The 24442-nt window shown below is 43.5% G+C and overlaps 1 long non-coding RNA gene across 3 annotated transcripts; it reads right to left on the bottom strand.

Moving 5' to 3' along the window:
• Positions 1-2648: 2648 nt before the first annotated feature.
• On the bottom strand, positions 2649-20856 carry LOC105370076 (uncharacterized). 3 transcript variants are annotated; one of them, XR_945543.3, is made up of 4 exons: positions 20572-20856; positions 18626-19073; positions 6283-6414; positions 2649-3033 (listed from the first exon to the last, which is right to left on the bottom strand). It is a non-coding gene; the product is annotated as an uncharacterized LOC105370076 (long non-coding RNA). The 3 variants fall into 3 exon arrangements; XR_945542.2 differs by lacking the exons at positions 2649-3033; positions 6283-6414 and adding an exon at positions 17384-17534; XR_945544.2 differs by lacking the exons at positions 2649-3033; positions 6283-6414 and adding an exon at positions 18036-18167.
• Between the last annotated feature and the right edge of the window lie 3586 nt (positions 20857-24442).

The raw sequence follows: 24442 nt of genomic DNA, 5'->3' as shown, positions 1-24442 counted from the left end.
AATCATTACATAAAAAAGACACCTACACTTATATGTTTATCACAGCACTATCCACAATAGCAGAAACATGGAATCAACCTAAGTCTCCATCAGCAGATAACTGGATAAAGAAAATGTGGTATATATACACAATGGAATACTATCCAGTCATAGAAAGGAATAAAATCATGTCTTTTGCAGCAAAGTGAATGGAACTGAAGGTCATTATCCTAAGTGAAACAACTCAGAAAGGCAAATACCCCATGTTCTCACTTACATGTGGGAGCTAAAAAATGTGTACAGATGGACATAGAGAATAAAATAATAATCGTTGGAAACTTGGAAGGGTGCGGGGATGGAAGGAGAGTGAGGGATGAGAAATTACTTAATGATTACAAGATATATTATTCAGATGATAGATGCACTAAAAGCCCAAACTTCACCACTATGTAATATAGCCAGGTAACAAAATTATAATTGTGCCCCTTAAATTTATACCAAAAAATAGATTTTCTAGGATGATGGCACAGTGGGCAGGAAGATAATGTTGCAGGGCAGATTCTCAGGGCCATCAGAAGATTGCTGGCCACAGGGCTGGTCTCTGGCATTCACAGATACTTAGAAGAATGAGAAAATGAAAGGTGAAGAAAGTACTTATGAAAGATGCAAATTTCTCATTGTTCAGTTCCCACCTATGAGTGAGAACATGCGGTGTTTGGTTTTTTGTCCTTGCGATAGTTTGCTGAGAATGATGGAACATCACACACCGGGGCCTGTTGTCGGGTGGGGGGAGGGGGGAGGGATAGCATTAGGAGATACACCTAATGTAAATGACAAGTTAATGGGTGCAGCACACCAACATGGCACATGTATACATATGTAACAAACCTGCACATTGTGCACATGTACCCTAGAACTTAAAGTATAATAAAAAAAAATTTAAAAAAAGGTGCAAATTTGTACATCAAGATATAATCTCATCACATAGGCACAAAGCTCTTTCTTCCTTTTATGAGGCAACAAGATCTGTCATACCTAAAATTCCATTTCATCCAAGTTGTCAAATTTATGTGTGTAGAGTTGTCTGCAGTGTTTTCTCCTAATCCGTTCGATGTGTACAGAGTCTGTAGTTTTAGTCCCTGTTTTATTCCTGATATTGGTGATTTTTTCTTCTCCCTCTGTTTTCCCTGCCAGTTTTCCTAGAAGTTTGTTGCATTTATTGGTTGTTTCAAAGAACCAGCTCGTAGTTTCATTGATTTTCACTATCTTTTCTTTTTTTAATTTTAGTTTTGTTTTCCATTTCTTTTATTTCTACTCTATTATTTTCTTCTGCATGATGTAGGTTTACGCTGTTCTACTTTTTCTAGGCTATTGAAGTGGAAACTTAGATTACAGATTTTAGACTTTTTCTCTTCTGTAATGTAAAATATTAGTGCTGTAAATTGTATTCACAGCACTGCTTTAACTGCATGCCACACATTCTGATATGTTTATTTTCACTTCATTCCGTCCAATGTATTTTTTTGAGAGTCTTTGAGATTTTCTCAGTGTGTTTATTTTCAAGTGTGTAGAGAATTTCCCATTACCTTTCTGTTGTTGATTTCTAGTTTGATTCCACTGTGCTCCGAAAATGCAGCTAGTATAATTTCAATTCTTTGAAATTTGTTGAGGTGTGTTTTATGTCCCAGGAAATGGCCTATCTTGGTATTTGTTTGGTGGACACTTGGAAACAACGTGCGTTCTGCTGTTGTTTGGTGGTGTATCCTATAAATGTAAATTAGATCCAATTGGTTGATGATGTTGTTGAGTTCTTCTACATCTTTTCTGGTTTTCTGCCTAGTTTTTCAATCAGTTGTTTAGAGAGGTTGTTGAAGTCTCCAACTATAATTGTTGTTTTGTCTATTTCTCGTTTTAATTCTATTGGTTTTTGTTTTGCTTGTGTTGCAGCTGTGTTGTTTGAGGCATGAACATTTAGGATTACTCTATCTGCTTGGTGGATTGACTATTTTATCATTGTATAATGTCTCTCTCTGTCTCTTGAAAATTTCTTTTCCCCTGAGTCCACTTTATATGATATTAATATAGGCACACCTGCTTCCTTTTGATTAATGTTTCTTTAGCATATCATTTTTCATTCTTTATTTTCAACCTACTTATGTAGCTATATTTGAAATAAATTTCTTATAGACAGTGTATCATTGGGTCATTTAATAAATCAATTTTGTTAATTTGTCTTTATTTTTCATTTCAATAGCTTTTAGGGTACAAGTGATTTTTGGTTACATGTATGAATTACATAGTAGCAAATTCTGTGCGCCTGTCACCCGCGTAGTGTTTGCTGTACCCAATATGTAATTTTTTAATCCCATACTCCAATCTCACTCTCCCCACCTTCTGAGTCTCCAAAGTCCATCATATCAATTTGTATGCCTTTGAATACTCATCTGCTAACTCATCTTTTACTGATATTAAGGTTTAAGTCTTTCATTTTATTTTTTGTTTTCTGTTTGTAATTTCTGTTTTTTGTTTGTTTCTCTTGTCTCCTTTTTACTGACTCCCTGTGAATTACTTGACTATTTTTTAGAATTCTGTTTTGATTTCTCTATAGTGTTTTTGAGTGTATTGCACAGTGTAGACCTTAGCAGTTGCTCCAGGTATTTTATTTTATACATATAACTTGCCACAGTCTACTGGTTTTACCCATTCAAGTCATCCTTACTTCCCTTCATGTTCTTCATGTCCTTTACCCTCCCACATTCATACATGATTATCTTAAATATTTCCTCTACATGCGGTGAGAACCATGTCAGTGTTATAATTTTTGCTTCATATCTCGAATATAATTTAGAAAACTGAGGAGAACGAAAGCCTATTATACATACCCATTTTTTCTTCTTTCCATTGTTCTTTCTTTGTCTCTGATATTCCAAGATCTCTTCTGTTATCACTTTCTGTTAAGATAACTTCCATTAGTCGTTCTTTTGGGACACCTTTGCTGACAACAGATTCACTTAGTTCTGCACCCTCTGCTAGTGTCTTGATTTTCCTTCATTTCTGAAAGATATTTTAAATGGATAGAGAATCCTGAGTCGACAGTTCTTTTCTTTCAGCCTTTGAAAAAGGTTTTGCTACTTTCTTCTGGCCTCCAAGGTTTCTAGTGAGAAATCTTCTTTTATTGAAATTGTTTCCTCCCTATATATAAGGTATTGTTTCTCTCTCACTGCTTTCTAGATTTTTTTCTCTTTCATTTTCAGAAGTTTGGCTATACTGCATTTTGGGATGAAATTCTTTAGATTGTCCTGTTTGGGGTCAACTGAGTCTTGAACCTGTTGGTTTATGTTTTGTTGTTTTTTTTTTTGTTTTTTGTTTTTTTTGCCAAATTTGGGGGCCTTTTAAGCCATTTTTTCTTAAAGTACCTTTTCAACCTCACCATTTTTCTTTTCCCCTCTGAGACTCCAAAGACATAAATGTTAAATCTATTGGTATAGTCCCAGTGTGTCTCTGGGTCTCACATTAAAAAAAATTAGTCTATTTTCTCTCTGAACAGGTTGAGCAATTTCTGCTGTTCTGTCTTATATAACAGTTAATTGCTTGTTTCCTCTGTCACCTCTATTTTGCTGTTGAGCCTATTCATTGAGCTGTTTATTTCAGTTCTTTTTAAGTTCTGTAATTTCTATTTGGTTCTCTTTGTATCTTCTACTTATTTGCTGTTTATTTTCTATTTCTTTGCTGAAGTTTCTATTTCTCATTTGCTTCAAGTGTGCTTTGAATCACTTATTGAAGTAATTTCAGGATGGCTGTTTTAAAATCCTAGCCACATAATTCTGTGTGTCATCTACATGTTGGCATCAATTAGTTGCTTTTTCTCGTTCGAGTTGATAGTTCCCTGATTCTTAGTATAATGAAGGACTTTAAAAATTCAAACCTGCTCACTTTAAGCATTATGCTACAGCACTCTGGATATTATTTTAATCTTGTTTCAGCAGCTTTCTCTGATGTCATTCTGGTTGGAGGGATGGAGGAGAACAATGCTGCCTCATTTCTATCCAGGTTCCTCACCCTGTCTCCTTTGACCCCTGGGGAGAGGGGCTCCTCATTGCTGCTGGGTGAGGGTGGGAGTTCAGACTCTCTGAACTCTCAGGGCTCCACTGACAGCACCACGCTCACTGGAAGGGGATAGTGGGCCTTGTTGCTGCTCCTCATCTGTCCCCCACTGACACACAGGAAGGTTGGTCTCCTTCACCGTGACTAGTGGAGAAGGTCAAGTCTCAATCTTGACTGGCAGTGGTAGAATGGGTCATCATTTTTTCTGTGGTATGTGGCTGAAGCAGCATAATTATCTAAAACTTTTCTGTCTGGCTAGTCTGTTTCTTTCCTTATGTTTGAGATAAAAAGAGCAGACTTAGGGCCTTTTTCATCTGCATCCATTGGTGTTTCTGAAGCATCAGCATCTCTAGCACTCAATTTAGATTACATGAGGCAAAAATAAAACCAGAGATTTCACCGTCCTATTGTTCCTTGGGTCCTGTTTGCTTTACAGATAATGTAAAGCATGGATGTTAGCTCTACTTAGCAGGAGGAATAGGGAAAAGTACATCTACTCCAGCTCTCAGATGTGGAAGTCTAGAATTCTAACATTCAGACAATACCAGGTGGATTGAACGAAACTTTCTCATGGCCTGGCTTGTCCACATTTCTCTGGCCTCAACACTGATTATGTCATTATTATATTACCTAGCCTTCCCTCCTGCTCCATGACTTACTTTATATAATTTAAGAAAAAAAAAACAAAAAAAAAATGCATGGTCTATATTTACTTTAACGGACTTTAGACTGTTAGATTATTTCCTCAAACCTTCCCTTCCAATCTCTCTTCCCAAGCTACCTGCTTATCTGAGACCACTCTAATTTCTGCTTTTGTCTTTTTAGGCTGCTGGTGGTGGTGTTTGGAATTAGAACTCCACAGGCACAAAATGGAAGCACTCTGCCCTCCCCCAGATCGCAGATAAGCTGCCAGTCCTGTCACCAGCCTCTGCAGGAGTTTGGGAGGCTGCAAATCTTGGAAACAGCTACCACGGTGTTGCTGGTGCCTGTAAATATGGCAGAAGGCCTCCAGCTACAAAGTTTGTTTAAAGCCTTTTTATTTAACAAAGTTTATTTTAAAACCCAAGCGTGTTCTTTTGTTGTGTGGATCTGTCTGCTTCTTTGAGACAACTCTCAAATTAGATGCATCCAGGCAAAATGGAGACATAAACCTTGTCCCCATAGCTGGACTCAACCCTGGGAAGCCTGGGGAGCCAGCTGTACTTTTTGCTCTTTTCTAGGTTTACTCATGAATTTTGCATTCATCAGAGTCCTAGAAGAACACGGAGGGCATATGACATAGATATCCACCGGGGTGGACAGGAGCCTAGGTATCCACTGGGGTGGACAGGAGCATAGATATCCACTCGGGTGGATAGGAGCCTAGATATCCACTGGGTGGACAGGAGCATTGATATCCACTCGGGTGGACAGGAGCATAGATATCCACTGGGTGGACAGGAGCATAGATATCCACTGGGGTGGACAGGAGCATAGATATCCACTGGGGTGGACAGGAGCATAGATATCCACCGGGTGGACAGGAGCATAGATATCCACTGGGGTGGACAGGAGCCTAGATATCCACTGGGGTGGACAGGAGCATAGATATCCACTCGGGTGGACAGGAGCATAGATATCCACTCGGGTGGAGAGGAGCCTAGATATCCATGGGGTGGACAGGAGCATAGATATCCACTGGGGTGGCAGGAGCCTAGATATCCACTGGGGTGGACAGGAGGATAGATATCCACTGGCTGGGCAGGAGCATAGATATCCACTGGGGTGGACAGGAGCATAGATACCCACTGGTTGGGCAGGAGCATAGATATCCACTGGTTGGGCAGGAGCATAGATATCCACTGGGGTGGACAGGAGCATAGATATCCACTGGGCTGGACAGGAGCAAGAGGAAACAAGGGCATGCATGATGCAGTGCTTTGTGGGTCTTAACAATCGGGAGCCATTACTATCTTAGACCTGAAGAGGCAAAGAAGGAGGTGGTAGCCAGGGCCCAGGGAGTGGAGCTGTAGAGAGAGCCTCTCTCTGGCTACCACAGGCCAAGTCTGACAGGAAGCCAAAGGCCATAGGAGCCCTTGGGTGCAATTGGTAATGGTGTGGAGGAGGGCAGGGAAGAGTAGAGACGAGACCTGGAGAGGCAGTGATGTCCAGCACTGCTTGCACCCTGACATAGACTGAGAGCCCCCAGTGGCTGCTTACCTCATGTGGAGTAGACCTCAGTGTCAGAATGGCCCACGGGCCTCATGCTTGTGGCCTCCATGGTCTTCCTGACTTCATCTCTCATGCATTTATCTTGTTCACTCTATTCCAGGCAAACCAGCCCCCTTGTTCCTGGAAAACATCGGCAGGTCTCCAACTGAGCGCCTTCTCATTTGCTATTTTTTCTAGCTCAGTGGTTCTCAACCAAAGGCGATTTTGCCTCCTGGGGGACATTCTGCAATGTCTGGAGATATTTTTGTCACAATGGGGGAGAGGTGCTATGGCACCTAGTGGGTAGAAGACAGGGACGCTGCTGGATATCTTACAGTACCCAGGACAGCTGCCTCACACAGCACTAGGTTTGAAAAATTCTGCATCTATCTGCAAGTCCATCCCTCCGATTTCTGCATGCTGTCTTCTGCATCAATATACGGTTTTTGTTTGACTGTCTCCCTCTCAGTAGGCTCTTCCCTGACCATCTTATCTAAGGCCAGGATCCACCCTCATCTCAACACTCCTTGTCCCCCTTTTCCAATATATTTTTCTACATAACACTTATCACCTTCTAACATACTATGACATCTTTTTGTTTAGTCTTATTTTATTTTTAATTGACACATAATAATTTTACCCCAGCTTCTGGTAAATACTACTGTCTACTTCTATGAGATCAACTTTTTTAGATTCCATGTGTGAGTGAGATCATGCGGTATTTGTCTTTCTGTGCCTGGCTTATTCCACTTAACATAATGTCCTTCAGGCTCTTCATCCATGTTGTTGCAAATGACAGGATTTCATTTATATTTATGGCTGAATAGTATTCCATAGGGTATATAGAACACATTTTAAAACTTTTAAGTTTAGGGTTACACGTGCAGGTTTGTTACATAGGTAAAGTTGTGTCAAGCGGGTTTGTTGTACAGATTATTTCATCATCCAGGTATTAAGCCTAGTACCCATTAATTATTTTTCCTTATCCTCTCCCTCCTCCCACCCTCCACCCTCCAGTAGGCCCCAGTGTGTGCTGTTCCCCTCTATGTCTCCATGTCTTCTAGCATTTAGCTCCCACTTATAAGTGAGAACATTTGGTATTTGGTTTTCTGTTCCTGCATTAGTTTGCTAAGGCTAATGGCCTCCAGTTCCATCCATGTCCCTGCAAAGGACACAATAGCACAGACATGGAATCAACCTAAATGCCCATCCATGATAGACTGGATAAAGAAAATGTGGTACATACACACCATGGAATAGTATGCAGCTATACCACATTTTTAAAACACATTCATCCACTGACGGACACTTAGGTTGATTTTATATCTTGGCTGTCATGAATAGCGCTGCAATAAACATGGGAGTGCAGATATCTCTTCAACATCCTGATTTCATTACCTTTGGATATATACCTGGTAGTAGGATTGCTGGGTCATATGTTCTATTTTTAAGTCTTTTAGGAACCTCTGTACTGTTGGCCATAATAGCTGTACTAAGTTACATTCCCATCAACAGTGCAGAAGAGTTCCACTTTCTCCACGTCCTTAGCAGCATTTGTTATTTTTTTTTTCTTCTGGATAATACCTATTCTAACTGGGATGAGTTGACATTTCATTGTGGTTTTGATTTACCTTTCCCTGATGACTAGTGATGTTGAGCCTTTTTAAAGATACTGTTTGGCCATTTGTAAATCTTCTTTTGAGAAATGTCTGTTCAGGTCTTTGGGCCATTGTTAACTCGAGTGTTTGTTTCTGTTGTGGTTGAGTTGTTTGAATTCCTTTTTTATTCTGGATGTTAACTCCATGTCAGATGCAGAGGCTGCAAATGTTTTCTCCCTTCTGCAGGTTGTCTTTTTACTCCATTGTTTCCTTTGCTGTGCAGAAGCTTTTTAGTTTGATGTAATACCATTTGTTTATTTTTGCTTTTGTTGACTGTGCTTTCGAGTTCTTATCCAAAAAATCTTTGCCTAGGCCAATGTATGGCATCTTTCTATTAATATTAGGAGAAAATCTTCATGGGATGTAGACTTTTGTTCATTTTGTGCACTGCCATTTCCCTAGTGTGTGGAGAAGTGCCAGGTATATGGCAGGTACTTGATAAATATTTCTTGGATGAGAAAATACATTTTCACACAGAAAAGTTTGTCACCTCTATCTCCACTTCTTATTTTTAGAATTGAATCTGGGCTTCACTTTCACCTGTCCAAAATGGCCAGCTGTTACCTGCAAAACAAGTAGAGAAACAGTGCATTCTACTGATGAGTTCTGTTTAGATCCATGGAGTGAATAGGACAAAGTGCAGGTACCTTTCTTAAAGGACATCTTCTTTTTGCATCATCACTGTACTTTTTCAGAAAACAAGATGAAAGGGAAACCCCTTTATACTGTTTTGCGGAAGCTACTAACTCTACCAATCACTTGGTCTTACTAGGACCTTGTCTAGCTCTGCAATACCTTCTTGAGGAACTCAGAGCAGAACTGCCTGGAATGTTCTAGGTGGTAGCGCTCACTTATTTTATAAGTAAGATGAGGCTCATGTTTCCCTTTTTATTTTAAAGTCTGAGGTTCATCTTCCTGAGGATATTCAGCCTCTGTGGTTCATTTAATTCACACAACACACTGGCTGTATATCTTTAGAGAACATATAATAATATACCGGTGCTACTGTTTTATTTCACCACTGTAATTCTCTTTTCTTCCATTTGTAGAAAAATGCACACACGAATACATTCCAAGGACGATGGAATTCCATTTATATCCAGCTCATCCATTATTGGCATAATTTATATTTCAGAAAGTAATTTATTGTTTCTCTGAAGGAAGTTCAATATTTGAAATCAGTTATCTTACAATGAATAAAATAAAAGTTTAAAGCCAATTTTACCTTTCCATTACCTGCAGTGCAGCCAAGGCAACGAAGAAGCTTCTTTCAGATTAAAGTCGAATGTACAATAATTGAATGGATTTCATTCTAAGCTTACCTTCTTTGACATTACGTTAATGTTCAATTTCTTATTGCATGGACATGGATCCCAGCCCATTTCCCCACAAGGCAGGGAGGTGTAGGCTTATTTCCAAGAGAAGCTCTATATGTGAGCATCTCAAGACAACAAAGTAACATAAGGAGCTCCGTTCTCTTGATATTTGGTAAAAACCACATGCAAAATTAAAGCCAGTTAATCCTGGCTTTGTTATTAATAGTCTTCCCAGCCTTGCTGCCCCACTATGCCCATCTTCTCAGTGATAAATCGACTCATTCTCCCCATGAGAGGTGGTGCTCATTTTCTTAGTCCGTGCTGGGCTTATAGGCCAACTTGAAAAGTATCATCAGTGGGGTCAGGACATCTAAATAACTAGATAGAATAATTTTATTCATTCACTAAATACCACCAGCCTCATGGTGCTATGATGTAGGCAGGGAGGCAGAGATCAAACAACCAATCACAAAAACACATGTACATTTGCAACTATGTTTTTCATACCCATCATGAGTCATGAAACCATTGGATTGCAGCTAATATTTTAGAGGTAAATGAAAGAGAGTAAAATATAATGCCAAATATCAGTGCATTGTTTGACATAAAACCAACATGGACACATAACTATATCAATCAGCATAGGATAGGTTATGCTGTGGTAACAAAGAATCCCCATATCTCAGTAGCTTAAAAACACCTTTTCATGGCTTGTCTGTGCTGCATGTTTGTAACTGATCAGCAGGGCTTGCTCTCCTCATCAGTGTCACTCAGGACCCAGGTTGAGGGAGCAGATACCACCTCAAAAGAGTTGCCAGTTGCCTGCAGAAAAACAGGACTGGAGAGTCTCACTGGCGCCTGTGCTGGGTGAGATCTAATCATGCTTGGACCCACTTGCACAAGAAGAAGTTGCAAAATGCAATCCTGTAATGTGCCTAAAAGGCAAACTTTTCTGAGAGATGACTGTAAAACACATTTCTTTCATAGTTAGGAAAGTTTGGTGACTATTACTGAAGATAATTTTAATGTTTCATTCCAGCAAAGCAATAGAAAGTCATCTCTGTTAATAAGCCCTGCCTTTCATACCCTGCTCCTCAGGCTGATGCTGCCTGCAGGACCCACGCTGTCAGCATCACAACACCCCTGACTGGAGCTCACTTTGGTCTCCACTCAACACTAGTGTGTATTCATCGTGCCATTGCTGATGCAGAATGGCCAACAGGATGCTCTCTGTGTCCAGTAATGTGCAAGTGACTATCCTTCAATGAAGAAGCCGCTGAGATGCTTTGCTCTTGGTGGAGTGGGTGTGTCAGGTCACTCATGTGCTTGACCTCCTGTGACATGACATGTGTCTAGGTGCTTTCTGACCACTAAAGATGCTGCTGATGATAACAAAAATGAGTTTGAATGAGGATGGACCTTTGACCGATTAATATCTCACCATAACCACCCAACTCAACCACCCCCAATATTGCTTAGAGAGGAGCCATTAATTATTTCACCTCCTTAAAATATCCTTCCAAGAGTGTGTAGAGAGGCTGCTGTGAAAGGTGAGAGGAGCTGACATTGAACGCCTCTGGTGGAAGCAAAGCCAGTGATTCTCCAAGACTTTTTAGGAACGATTATAAGCTTCAAGACAGTCCACCAAGCTCCACCAACCACTTCAGTTGGCTGCAGTGAAGTGAATGGTTTAGCAGTGTGTCCAGAAGCCACTGTGAATCTCTTATCTGCCTACTTGCCTGCTTGCAACTGACCCTGGAGAATACAAGCTTCTACTTCTTTTGTGCCTTCTTGTGCAAATTCCCCTTTTTAGCACACCTGAACTGTGCCTGGAAAGGGATCCTGGGACACGAGGTTCTCAACCTTGGAAGGGTGGTGGGCTGAGTTGACAACAGACCCTCCAGCATGGTGGTCCATTAGATAATGACTTATCTTACAGTAGATCACATAGGAAGTTTAACAACCTGCAGAGTTTCCAGCTTCACAGAATCACCGTTTTAACTTCCATAAATGTAATGTAAAAGAAAAATGTTACTGCTACCTGACTGGACAGTCATTACAATGTTTTATAAATAGAAGTCAACCATAAGAAATAACTGCAATGAGCACCATTCTAGATATGTGCTGCCGTATGCCAAGGCTGCAAGCCGAACTCCTGGCCCTGCTGTGCTAGAAGGGAGGCGAGCGAGAGCGGGAGCATCACAGCCATGCCAGTGCCCAAAGAGACTCTGACCTTGGAGGGTTTACAAAGGAGAAATGCTCTCACTATGTGATCTAATTACTCCACAGAGAATCAGAGGACCATAGCTCCTGCTTTGGGGCAGCACTGTCATAATCTTTCCTGTGAAGTTCAGGGAGAAAAAGAAGCTGTCGGAAGCCAAAGAGAAGCCTTTCTGCCTGACCTCCTGTGATCAGGAAGGGAAAGGGCTCTGAAGAAATATCGAGTGACATGATGGGGGTTGGGGAGGAGTTCTCTTTTTGTTTCCTTACATAAGTAGAGCAGAGCTGGGTGGATCACCCTGAAACTCCTCGGAGCTGAGTTACTGTGTCAGGAATTCAGACTGGGATGAACAGCCTGTCTGGTTTCCAGCAGACAGAACTCACCATCGTGACAGTGTTTCTACCACCCTCTCCCAGCCTTCCTGCCTTCCCTGCTCCCTGCTACCTCTCTTTCCTCTCGGAGCTTTCAGTGGACATTTACAATATTGAGTCTGTCTCCTCCTTACTCTGTCAGTAGCCAGCCTGGCTGCTGCAGGCCTCCTGGGGCACAGTAAGTTGCTGAACAAAACCTCCTTTTCAACAACTCCATTAAAATCCTGGAAAACAGAGGGGATGCTTTCCATCCCCAGCTCATTCTAATGCTTCCCAGGGCCGCTGTAGGGTGGGAGCGCTCAGTTATTAAAGGAGATTAGAGCTGATGGGTCTGTCTGAATGGCGCTCCGGTGCCTCCCTGAGGCCCGAGATGCAAATGGGAAGGAGCCAGCAAAACAATTTCTCTTTGCCTGGGCTTTCTTGGGAAAAAACAGAGAAAAGTCCTTTGGTGTAAAGTCAGTGGGAATTCTCTGGTTGACCTCTTGGTGTTGGTTGCTCTTACAACACTCAATAAAATAAGGGCTGGGCCTTTCTTCTCAGCTTTTGTTCCAGTGAAATTTCATTGCTTTACTTTCTGCGAAGGGCTCAGATATTCGGAAATAACAAATGTCTTAAAGCCACTTTCCTGCAACTTTCACATATCCATCTTTGTGTCTCGTGCTATCATTCTCCTTTCTCTTTCCAGCTTCCTTTTCTTCCCCCAAGATAGTTTTCTGCCTTTCTCACTGTGGTCTCCATCCTGTTCCTGCTGATGTTCACCCCCTTGTGTGGTCTCCTTCCCAGAGGGCAGGCAGGACCTGAGACTTGCTCTAACCAGTAGAAGGTGGTAAAGGTGAAGGTGGTATAGGTGATGGGATATGCATGTTTGCATTGTGTGGTATTGGGAGACCCAGGTTGCTAGGACTCTCTTCTTGGCTTGATGAAGCAAGAGGCCATGTCAGGGATCCATGAGGCCAGGAAGGAGGGCAGCCCACAGGAACTTCTGCAATAACCTAGGTGAGCTTGGAAGCAGCTCCTTCCCCAGCCTCACGTTCAGATGAGCTCTCCTCCCTGAGTGATACCTCGATCAGATCACAATTCTCAGCAGACTCAGCAAAGCCATGTCCAGCCTCCTGGCCCACAGAAACCACAAGATAATAACTGTATGTTGTTTAGGACCTTAAGCTCATAGTCATCCATTCCACAGCAATAGATAATACTGATAAAGGAGGTAGAAAGAAATTATTTAGGTAGATAGAGTGAAAGAGTCCTCAGCAGAGCTTCCCTTCTAACACAAAGCAGCCCAGGAAAACATTTCTTGTCTAACAAAGAGCAGCCTGAAAAATCAAGCTGCAAACATAGATAAGCAAGCTGGAAGCTTGCACGGGGGAATGCCGGCAGCTGTGCCAATAGAAAAGGGCTACGTGGGGGCCAGGTGTGTCCAACATGGAGGCTCCATCTTCCCTTTTTTTGTTACCAGGTGTACAGTAAAGGAATGGGCAACATGGCACAGCTGAGGCAGGGGACCCACCTGCATAGTAAGAGATTAGGGTGGGGGCTGCCAGAGATTCGAGCCCTGTGCAAATGGCACTTCTGGTCTAACCAGTTTTTCACACTCTATGCAAATGGCACATTTGGTCCAACCAGTTTTTCATGCCCTATGTAAACCAGACACTGCCTCCTCACCAGCTGATCTATAAAACCCCCTGTGTTTCACCATGGATCCGGCAACCCACTTCTCCAGGACCCCTCTCTGCAGCAGAGAGCTGTTCTTTCTTTTGCCAATTAAACTTCCACTTTTAACTTCACTCTTCATATCTCCATGTCCTTGTTCTCCACGGCCATGAGACCACAAACTCTGGGTGATACTCTAACATTCAGGTCGTTTCAATATACCCACTTTGCCTCTTTTAAAAGAGAAAAATCAGTAGCCCCCGAAATATATTTTTCAGATGGTAGACCATGCATGATGTCTCTCTGCTGCTGGGCATCTGTGGCCTCCGTTGGCGCTCCCCACTCCCCATCTTATCAGTGTGTTTCCATCCTGAAGTGCTGGAATAATTATCAGATACTGATATGGTCTCATCCTGTCAGCGACTAATACGTGGCCCATTTCCTGCTGACACTGCATTCCTTGTGAATAATTTGTTTCAGACCAAACTGGATAATTTTTAGGCCATCTTCCCTTTAAAGAGCATTTCAAGTAGCTGCTGTCATCTGTGAAATAAGTTTGGTTTTTATAAATGAACTGTATTATAAATCAATGAACCCGACTCTTAAATATACGGGGATAATTTATGGATGTTATGGAAGGTAGCAAAACCTGCTCTCGAGCTTATGATTAAATAGGATTCTACCTGTGAGTAGAAAGCCCATTCCTCACAGTCCTTCATGCATTCTCAGGGTGCTGCCTCCTTCTCCCCACCTTTTCCACTGTTGAAGGCAGCAGTAGCCATTACTGAATTGATTTTGGCTTTTCTACACAAAAATTGTTCATCAGTCTATTTTTAGGTGGCAAGAGTCTGGGAGACAGGAAAGTTGGATTCCTGAGTCTGGTCCCTTAAATGTATAAATTGCATGAAATGTGGCAAAAGCTCTCTCCAGCAGAGAAGACCCCAGCATTCATCAGTTTGGGTTAGAGCACAAGCTTGTTGCACTAGACACTTCCCATTTACCCCTTAGACTCTTCACTGCTCTATGTCTTGGGGGATGTTTTATAAATGCATTCATAGGTTTCATTGTCTTTGGTTGGATTTGGGATCCAACCAGTGAGACACTCTGGCAGAAGACGGAGGGCAGGAGTAGAGAGGCTGTTATATTCCTTCCACTGGCTTCTCCCCTGCAGGGCCTCCATGGGTTGGCTGCATCTCACTGTGGATCCTCTCGGCTCCTGCAGGGAAGGCTCCCCTGACCCTGCAGGTGTTGGGGTGGCATCAGGCTTTACTGCTACTAGTCTCATGTTGCCTCCACCCTTGACAATGGTGCCTTCACTAAACTCCCCTCCATCGTCCCTTTGGAATGTGACATCTGTGTCCTGCAAGGCCCTGAGCAACATGCCGTCAGCCCTGATAGCTGCCTAGGCACATTTTCCCACATAGCTGGGATGCCCTTCTTGACATATTTCTCTACACCTATCTTTTCCCTGTGCCCTCTCACTCCCTTTCAAGCAGAAAGTCAGCCTCAGACATAGATATGATAGAGAAGAGAGCAAAAGTAGCCTGGGAAACTTCTTGAATTTGTTCCAAACATCAATGTCCCAGAGAGGGTTTGGAGATCAATACTGTCTAATTCAGAAGCAGGAGGGGAAGCCAGGCATGGTGGCTTATGCCTGTAATCCCAGCACTTTGGGAGGCCAAGGTAGGAGGATTGCTTGATGCCAGGAGTTCAAGAGCAGCCTGGACAACATAGCGAGATCCTTGTCTCTACAAAAAAAAAAAAAAAAAAAAAAATAGCTGGGCATGGAGGCACATACCTGTAGTCCTAGCTGCTCAGGAGACTGATGTGGGAAGATCTCTTGAGCCCAGTGAGCTATAATTGCATCACTACCTTCAAGCCTGGGTGACAGACCCTGTCTCTTAAAAAAATTAAAAAGCAGGAGGGATCATGGAGGGGATTCTCTACAGGCCAAGTGCTGTGTGGGTATTTTGGCATCGTCATGAAGGTGACAAAACCCCAGAGAAGGATGTGCCTAAGGAGACCACACAACAGGCAGATTTGCATGTACCAGGGACGGACCTGCAGGGAGATGCTCACCAACTCAGTGGCCACCTGTGAGGCAAGCTTCATGGACACAGAACTAAAGGCCAACCCACCTGGACCCTAAATCTCACTGTACGCCTGCCCCAAGGAAGCCGGGCACCACACGGGACACAGAGGGAGGGTTGCCCTGGCAAGGGGAGCCAGTTTGAGTCGAGGGCTCACTGTGCGGCGGACATCAAATGCCTTATCTATGTGAAGTAACCCACCAGTCCCAAATCCATGAGGACTTTGCAGAGGGGAAAACTGAGGCACGGGACAGTGGAGGAACTTTTCCTAGGTCTCACAGCTATGAGTGGCTGACAATCTACCCTCCAAGTCCTACTACTCCACTGTCACTCAAAAACTGCAATAAAAGTGAACCACACCAACCTGGTAAAACACAATGAAAGCTCTTTCCAGCCGGGCGCAGTGGCTCACGCCTGTAATCCCAACACTTTGGGAGGCCAAGGCGGGCAGATCACTTGAGGCCAGGAGCTCGAGAGCAGCCTGGCCAACATGATGAAACCCCATCTCTACTAAAAATACAAAAAAAAAAAAATTAGCCAGGTGTGGTGGTGGGCACCTGTAATCCCAGCTACTCAGGAGGCTGAGGCAGAAGAATCACTTGAACCCAGGAGGCAGAGGTTGCAGTGAGCCCAGATCACCCCATTGCACTCCAGCCTGGGTGACAAGAGTGAAACTCCACCGAAAGAAAGAAGAAAGAAGGAAGGGAAGAAGGAAGGAAGGAAGGAAGGAAGGAAGGAAGGAAGGAGAAAGAAAAGAAAGAAAGAAAGAAGAAAGAAGGAAGGAAGGAGAAAAAAGGGAAAGAAAGGAATAAAGAAAGAAAGAAGAAGGAAGAAAAGAAAAAAAGAAAAGAAGGAAGGGAGAAAGAAGAGAGAAAGAAAAGAAAGGAAGGCAGGAAGGAAGAAAGAAAAGAAAGACTCTTTTCTTTGCATATGAATTTCCAGTGATGGCCACAGTCAGGATGAGGCTGGTGATGCCAAGGGGCATTCCTTCAAATCACCACGGGGAGCTGTGGATGCCACTCACATCGTGGACTCCTGCGTCTGTGGGGAGAAGAGCTCAGATTTCAGATTTGCCAGCATTTTAGAAAACTGTAGAATCTCGAATCTGGAAGCGATGCTGACATGATTCAGTCTGGTGTCCTGCCCTTAAGCAAGGGTTGATGGTCCCCTCATAGACTGTCCCCTCCTAGACTGTCAGGTAACAGAGCAGAGCCTCTCTCAGGACCTCGTCCTGGAATTTAATGTTCATCCCTAGCCCCCTTAGAGTGCATCCTCCTGACCATTATCCAGTAGTAGGGAAATGTAGTTTCATGTCAGCTCCTAGCTTCCTAACCTCCTTCTCCAGTCCGTCTCCATCAAGACAGCTTGCCTATCTCTCGTGAGCACTTCCCAGTCTCTCAAATGATCTGGCAGGTGCATTATCTTGCCGATGCCTGCCTGCCTGCCTGCCTGCCTTTAGGATGGAAGCCTCATGAAACCAGGTCCATGTGTCTCATTCCCTGATTCATCCCCACATCCTGAGCAGTGCTGGGCAGATGGCAGGAAATAAAGTCATATTTTGTTGAATGAATTAGTCATCCTTATGATTGAGAATCACCAAGGGAACCACAGGCACACAGGCTGTCCAAGTTGGAAAGGATTTTAAACTTCTTCCAGTCCAATTTTCCACCCAACACACAAATCCAAAGTTCCATTTGTTGCAGAATCATGTCCCACAAACGTTTCTCGACTTTAAGACCATTTCAAAAAGTATACTGTGGTGGGGTTTGTTTATTTATTTATTTATTATTATTTTTTTTTTCACAAAGAAGCAGCTGCTGTTCCATCAAGCGCAGAGAGTGAAGCTCCTTAATGACATCTTGTTTGGGAGCTGAGTGTATATCATTTGGGAACAACTTACAAAGACGGTCAATTTTGCAGTTAACTGTTGGGATGAGCAAAAGGCTAAAATCCTGCAAATAGTAGATCATTTGATTTTAAAAGTCAGCTTTTGTTAATGAAATGCTGTGCTTTACTCAAACTATTTTCCCATCTTACAAGTGCCAATTACCTGCCTGGAATGTACAAACCCAGTGTTCACAGATGGCCTTTCATGTCTCTAAACCACCATTTGAGAACATTGTAATAAAAGTTAAAAGGATTGTTAGTATCAAGTGCTGACGAGGGTATCGGAAACAGGTATCTTTTCACACTCTCACTCCTGGTAGGAGCAGGACTTGGAATTTTAAAAGCATACACCAATTTCACTTCTCAGAAATTTCAACAAGAGAAATATTCTCCTCCACACATGAGTATTTCAGCACAGGTTAATAAGGAAAAAGTGGAAACAATTGAAAATATCCATTAATAGGGAAATGTAGTTTAAAATGAGCTAAACCTACATATGATAACATAAAAAATATCCATGATCCATTGTTGAATTAAAAAGTTGCACCAAAGTACCCAGAGTTTATTGACTTTTCAAAGAAGACCCACACAGACACACACAACATACTTAAACCTCTCAGGTTCTAGGCTCCAATACATGTATGCAATTTTATAGAGCTGTCCAACAAGGTACAAAACAAACAAATCAATGGTTGAGCCTGGGGAAAAGAGAAGATGTGGGTTTGAGAGAATAATTGATGGGAACTTCAGCATTATCCCTGAATTTCAAAGAGAATATACGTTTGTAGTCCTGGTGCAATTAACATTTAATTAAACAATACTGCTGTTATAAATCACAAAAACAAATATGAGTGTCAGTGTAGGTGGCACAAAATGGCATTGTCAGCATTAAGATGCATTAATAATACTCCCATTTTGGCCTTATACGTGAGATGAAGAGATTTCTTTCTCTCTATAACACAAGAGATGGCCAGCAGCTTTCTGGAAATTTTTCTATCAATGCAAGCAACCCACACGTAGTGTGGCTTCTATGCCTTATGTCTGGAAGTTGATTCCACTCAGCATTGCCTGTGAGAATGGCCTGAAGGCAAACAGGAGCTGGAGAGGCATGAGGTAGAGAGATGCAACAAAGGGGAACAGTGGAGAATGCTCTCACCTTGCTCGTCTCGTGATTTGGGGATGAATCAGACCCTTCTGTTTGCTGGTCAGCCTCTCCTCTTACTCTGTAAACATAGGCTCCTTCTGGGACCTGCTGAACAGTGTCCAGGGCGGCAGGCATGCTTTCACGTGCCCTGGCCTTCATGCCTCCTACACATGAATGGTCCATGGGAGGCCGGTAAACCCAAAAGCACATCAGAGAATTCCCTAGGATATTAATACCTGAAATTGGGAACAAGAACTGGATTCCCAAAGGCAGTGGAACTACTGTCTATAAAATCTGGGCGTTGTGGTCAGCCATATTTTCCACTCAATAAAGAATTCAGGTATGTGGCAGGTGCAACGGCTCACACGCATAATCCAAGCACTTTGGGAGGCCGAGGCAGGTGGATTGCTGGAGTCCAGGGATTCAAGATCAGTCTGGGCAACCTAATGAGACTTCCTCTCTGCAAAAAATAAAAAAATTAGCCAGATATGGTGTTGTGTACCTGTAGTCCCAGCTACTTGGGAGGCTGAGGTGGGAGGATTGCTTGAGCCTGGGAGGTGGAGGTTGCAGTGAGCTGAGATGGCGCCACTGCACTCCAGTCTGGGTGACAGAGCGAAACAGTCTCAAAAAAAAAAAAAAAAAAAAAAAGAATTCAGGTCCACAGTAAGAGAGGATAAGACTGATGTGCACAGAGAGGGGTGGGGGATGGTGAGGAAGGGCCCATCTGGCCTTCTAGCCCCCTTTCCAGTTCTGCTCACGTTCACCCCCTTCCTGCTGGGCAATCACACAGCCTTCTTCAGATTCTCTGAGCCAATAAATTCCCTGTTGTGCAGACAGGAGAGACCCCAATTCAAAGGCAGGGACTCCTGTGAACCCATCTCAGCAGTGTGGACACGGACGTGAGGAACGCTCCTCCTTAATAAAATCTCTCCACACCAGGACGGCTTCCATTCCTGTCTCTGGAATCTGTCCAAGGTGAGCTGAAGGGGTCACTGGTGTCTTTGATAATTCCAGACTCTTTTTGGCAAGAAAAGATGTAAGAGAAGCCAGCTAACTCCTCTACCGCATCCAAGGTTGCTGTGTCTCTGCTGAGCACCAATATTATTCCATATTTATGAAATATATATTGAATCATGCATTAAACCCAAGAGGTGTGTAAAAGAGTGGCTCTGTGTCTATAGGCCGCTATCCTAGTAACTGAATGCTCTAGAAGAATCCCTATGGAATGTTCTAGAATTCTTATAGAGCATTCTAGAAAAATCTCTACAGAATGTTCTGGAGGAATCTCTACAGAATGTTGTGGAAGAATCACTGCCCGAAATGTTGTAGAACTCTCTCCTTAGTTCAGCTAAAGACAGGAGCCAGGCTGGGCACGGTGGCTCTCTCCTGTAATCCCAGCACTTTGGGAGGCTGAGGCAGGCAGATCATGAGGTCAGGAGATCGAGACCATCCTGGCTAACATGGTGAAACCCCATCTCTACTAAAAATATGAAAAATCAGCCGGGCGTGGTGATGAGTGCCTGTAGTCCCAGCTACTTGGGAAGCTGAGGCAGGAGAATGGCATGAACCTGGGCGACGGAGCTTGCAGTGAGCCAAGATCGCGCCACTGCACTCCAGCCTGGGCTACACAGCGAAGACTCTGTCTCAAAAAAAAAAAAAAAAAAAAAAAAAGACAGGGTCTTTGTCGCATGACCACGAAAAATTAGGCTCACAGATGATTTGAAGGGGAATAAAAATAGAGTTTATTGGGTGAAAAGGAAAAAAAAGGTAACAGGGACTCTCCGAAAAGCCAAAGCAAGAATCCTGCTAGTATATGCTTCCTGCCTCGCAGATTGAATCCCAGGTTCCACCCAGGAAGAGGAGGGGCCAGGCTCTTCCCTGGTGCAAGTGGCGTGAACCTCTGTGGCCCCACCCCAGTGTGCAGGCAGGTTGGAGTTTCTCTGGGGACCCCTTCCCACCTGGCTGTCTCAGAGAGGCGGTCGCTTACACTTCCTTCAGTTGTAGTAAGCAGCCCCAAGGCCTCGTGGCACTGCTTCCTGGAGGGACTCTACAAAGTTCTGCTGCTTCTTTATTCTTTTATTTTTTAGAGACAAGGTTTCTCCATGTTGGCCAGGCTGGCCTCGAACTCCTGGCCTCAAGTGGCTCGTCCACCTTGGCCTCTGAATGTGCTGGGATTACAGGCGTGAGCCACCACACCTGACTATGCTTCTCGGCTTTGATGAGAATCAGCTCATTTAGGGACCACCCGGCTGTGGGATGTGATCCCACACAGCCAGGCTCCAGGTACTTGAGAAAGCCCATTTGTGACTTCACAGTCGGGAGAGCCCTTTGCAGAGGTCCACACCCTTCCGCCTGCTGCTTCCCGGGGGATCTTCACTCTGAAATCATCTGGCATGTGTGTTATCCTGCCATTGGCCATCTGCCTGCCTTCCTCTAAGATGGAAGCCTCAGGAAAGCAGGCTCACACCTGTCTCTTTCTCTGATTCATTCGCCAGCTACATCCCCTACACACAGACACACAAACGGGATGGGCAGGGCAGATTATCCTGTTTCACTATACAGAATGGTTTCAAGTGGCCAGGCGTGGTAGCTCATGCCTGTGATCCCAGCACTTTGGGAGGCTGAGGTAGGCAGATCACCTGAGGTCAGGAGTTCAAGATCAGCCTGGGCAACATGGTGAAACCCTGTCTCTACTAAAAATACAAAAATGAGCCAGGCATGGTGGTGCATGCCTGTAATCCCAGCTACGTGGGAGGCTGTGGCACAAGAATCGCTTGAACCCAAGAGGTGGAGGTTACAGTGAGCCGAGATCATGCCACTGCACTCCAGCTTGGGCAACAGAGCGAGACTCTGCCTCAGAAAAAAAAAAAAAAAGAATGGTTTCTAGTGACCTAATTTTTTTCATCCAATGTGACATGAGTCTGCTCTAAATAGGACTGGACAAATGCTCATAATTTTGTCTTTCCACTCATCTCTTTCCATAGAGTAGGATATTAATTGTACAAACTCCAGATCCTGATGCACCTGGACTGGGCACTGGCTTAGCTACTCACCAGCTTGGGAAAGCCACGTAACCCCCCTATGTCTCAGTTTCCTTCTCTGCAATATGGAGATGAGATGTGTATTAATTAGAAACACACTAGTTGCTAATAGTTGATACAAGTAAAGAGTTATTTTTCTCACAAAGCAGAAGTCCTGAGGCATCGCTCCAGTGGCTCAGCTGTGTCCAAGGGCCTTATGCCTATGCATCCCTTCATCCTTTCCTCGTGCTCACAGGATGGCTGCCACAGCTCCTGTCATCATATCAGTGTTTAAGGCAGGATTAATTGAGGATGGTGGTAGCCATACTGTTCCTCTCTTTTTTTGTCCCCGTTTGTTTAAATGAGAAAATAAATAAGAAATAAGAAAGCACAAGCGTTACCAAACTTGCTGTACCTTTTTTTTTTTTTTTTTTTTTTTGAGGCAGAGTCTCACTCTGTCGCCCAGGCTGGAGTGCAGTGGTGTGATCTCCGCTCACTGCAAGCTCTGCCTCCCAGGTTCACGCCATTCTCCTGCCTCAGCCTCCCGAGTAGCTGGGACTACAGGCGCCCGCCATCACGCCCAGCTAATTTTTTGTATTTTTAGTAGAGACGGGGTTTCACTGCGTTAGCCAAGATGGTCTCGATCTCCTGACGTGATCCACCAACCTCGGCCTCCCAAAGTGCTGGGATTACAGGTGTGAGCCACCGCACCTGGCCCAAACTTGCTGTATGTTATTGACCAGTACAAGGTCACAAGGCTTCCCTTTGCTGTAGGGAAAGAGATATCTACTTTTTCATCCTGAGTTGAAGCAGCAGTAAAAGGGGGAGTTAAAATGGATTTTGAGTTAGCTAAATGGCCCTGGGAAGATTAAATAAAAGCACTTGTGAAATACCCAGATGCTCAATAATTATTGATGATTGTTGTTGTGTTGGCCTAGCAACAGTTCATGTTGGATATTCCAGAAATGCCTCTCCTCATTTTAGTAGATATTCATAATATTGTATGAGTTGTATATACTTCCACAGAATCATAGCATTTTTGGCCTGATCAGTATTTCAGCATCATGTTAGTTTAATGTTTTCTTGATGAGATCTTGATGAACTTCTTAATGTCTTAAGTAACTTGTCTCTAAATATTACTACTACTGCTGGGATCTCTTTTTATCCCTTTAAAATTTTTATTAAAGTTTATTTTTTCCATTACAGTGGGAGATGGTGCCAGGAAGGTAGTTATTGCTTGACAACTGTTAGTAAATGGTAGTAGTGATACATCCAATCTTACAATTTTGTGTGTTTTCTTCTAGGCAAGCCAGGTACTAGACATATCAATTATTGCTGTCATACCCTTCTCTTCTCTGGAATTCTCCTGCCCACCCACAGGTCTTTTGAAGGGTGTGCTTTGGCAGCTGAAGGTCAGATTATGCCTGCACAGGACACAATTGCACATCAAACCCGGAAGGAAGCAACTTTCAAATGAGACAGAGCCCAATACAGGCCTCTCTCTTGAGACTGTAAGCTGACACAGAGGTTGAGTCTCCCAGAGATCCTGCTCCTGTAGAGTGATGTACACTTGGAGGTGGTGGAGGAGGAACCTCAAATATGGGTAGTGGAGACACATGGCAGCTCGCGGTCCTCAAGAGAGGAAGTGACGGGGGTTGGTGAGAAGTCTCGCTGATGGCTGGGCACAAGCATGAGAGGCCACAGGCTCCTGCTGGGGAGGCCATGGAGTTTCCCTGCTCTCTTTATTTAGTTTAACTTTGGGTTCTGCAAGGTGGTCCCTGCTTTTGACTAAATTCCTTTTGTTGAGCTAGTTTGAGCGGGATTCTGTTCCTCACAATCAAAACTACACAAAGATAGGCTGGGTGCGGTGGCTCATGCTCGTAATCCCAGCAATTTGGGAGGCTGAGGCAGGAGAATTGCTTGAAACCAGAAGGCAGAGGTTGCAGTGAACTGAGATTGCACCGCTGCACTCTAGCCTGGGCAATAAGAGCAAAACTCCGTCAAAACAAACAAACAAACAAAAAAAAAAACCAACTACACATAGATGAGGAACCTTCACAGATGCTTTGCACAGCATGGGAATAGAGTTCATATCATGCCTGTAGAAAGTCATGCACGGTGAAGTGGCTGCCGTGTCATTACAAATCCTTCATAGCCAACTTTATAAGAATACACGTTTTTTCTTACTTGAAAACATTTCCTTTATTAAAAATCTGAAAAACACAGAAAACCTCAGAAACAAGCATGAATGTCACTGGTAATCATACGACTAGAAAACTAAAACCCCCAAATCTTGACTATTTGGTATATTGATTGGATTCTTTCTGATTAATGAAGATAAGTAATACTGGCTAGAAAAACAGATAAAGTCGAGTATCTCAGTGTTTTAACACAGTAAGTCTAGTTCTCCTTCACATTACAACACAACATGATTTGTCAGAGAGTCTTTTCTCTGTGTAGACAGAGAGTCTTTTCTCTGTGTAGACACTCAAAGATCCAGGCCCCTTCCACTCATGGCTTGAACCTTCTCCGGATCCCTTTCACAAGCCAGTCCATAAAGATTAAGGGGACCATGCATGAGTAGCTTTTAAGGGCCAGGCCTTCAGGTAACGTGTATCAGTTCTCTGCGTTTCATTGACCCATAATCCGTCACGTGATTCCATCTGGCTGTGGGGAGAGGGGTTGGAAATGCAGTCTTACTGTGTGCCCAGGAAGAAGAGAAGAACATTGACGGGGTGCAATTGCAGTGGCTGCACAATCTTCTGTTCTCGTTAACCTTCTACCCAGGGTGGTGGGCAGCAGGTGGTTC

The sequence above is a fragment of the Homo sapiens genome, chromosome 12, assembly GCF_000001405.40.
Source record: "Homo sapiens chromosome 12, GRCh38.p14 Primary Assembly".
Lineage (NCBI taxonomy): Eukaryota > Metazoa > Chordata > Mammalia > Primates > Hominidae > Homo > Homo sapiens.
Note: the sequence above shows the minus strand (reverse complement) of the source record. Positions and strands in the feature narration are given on the sequence as shown.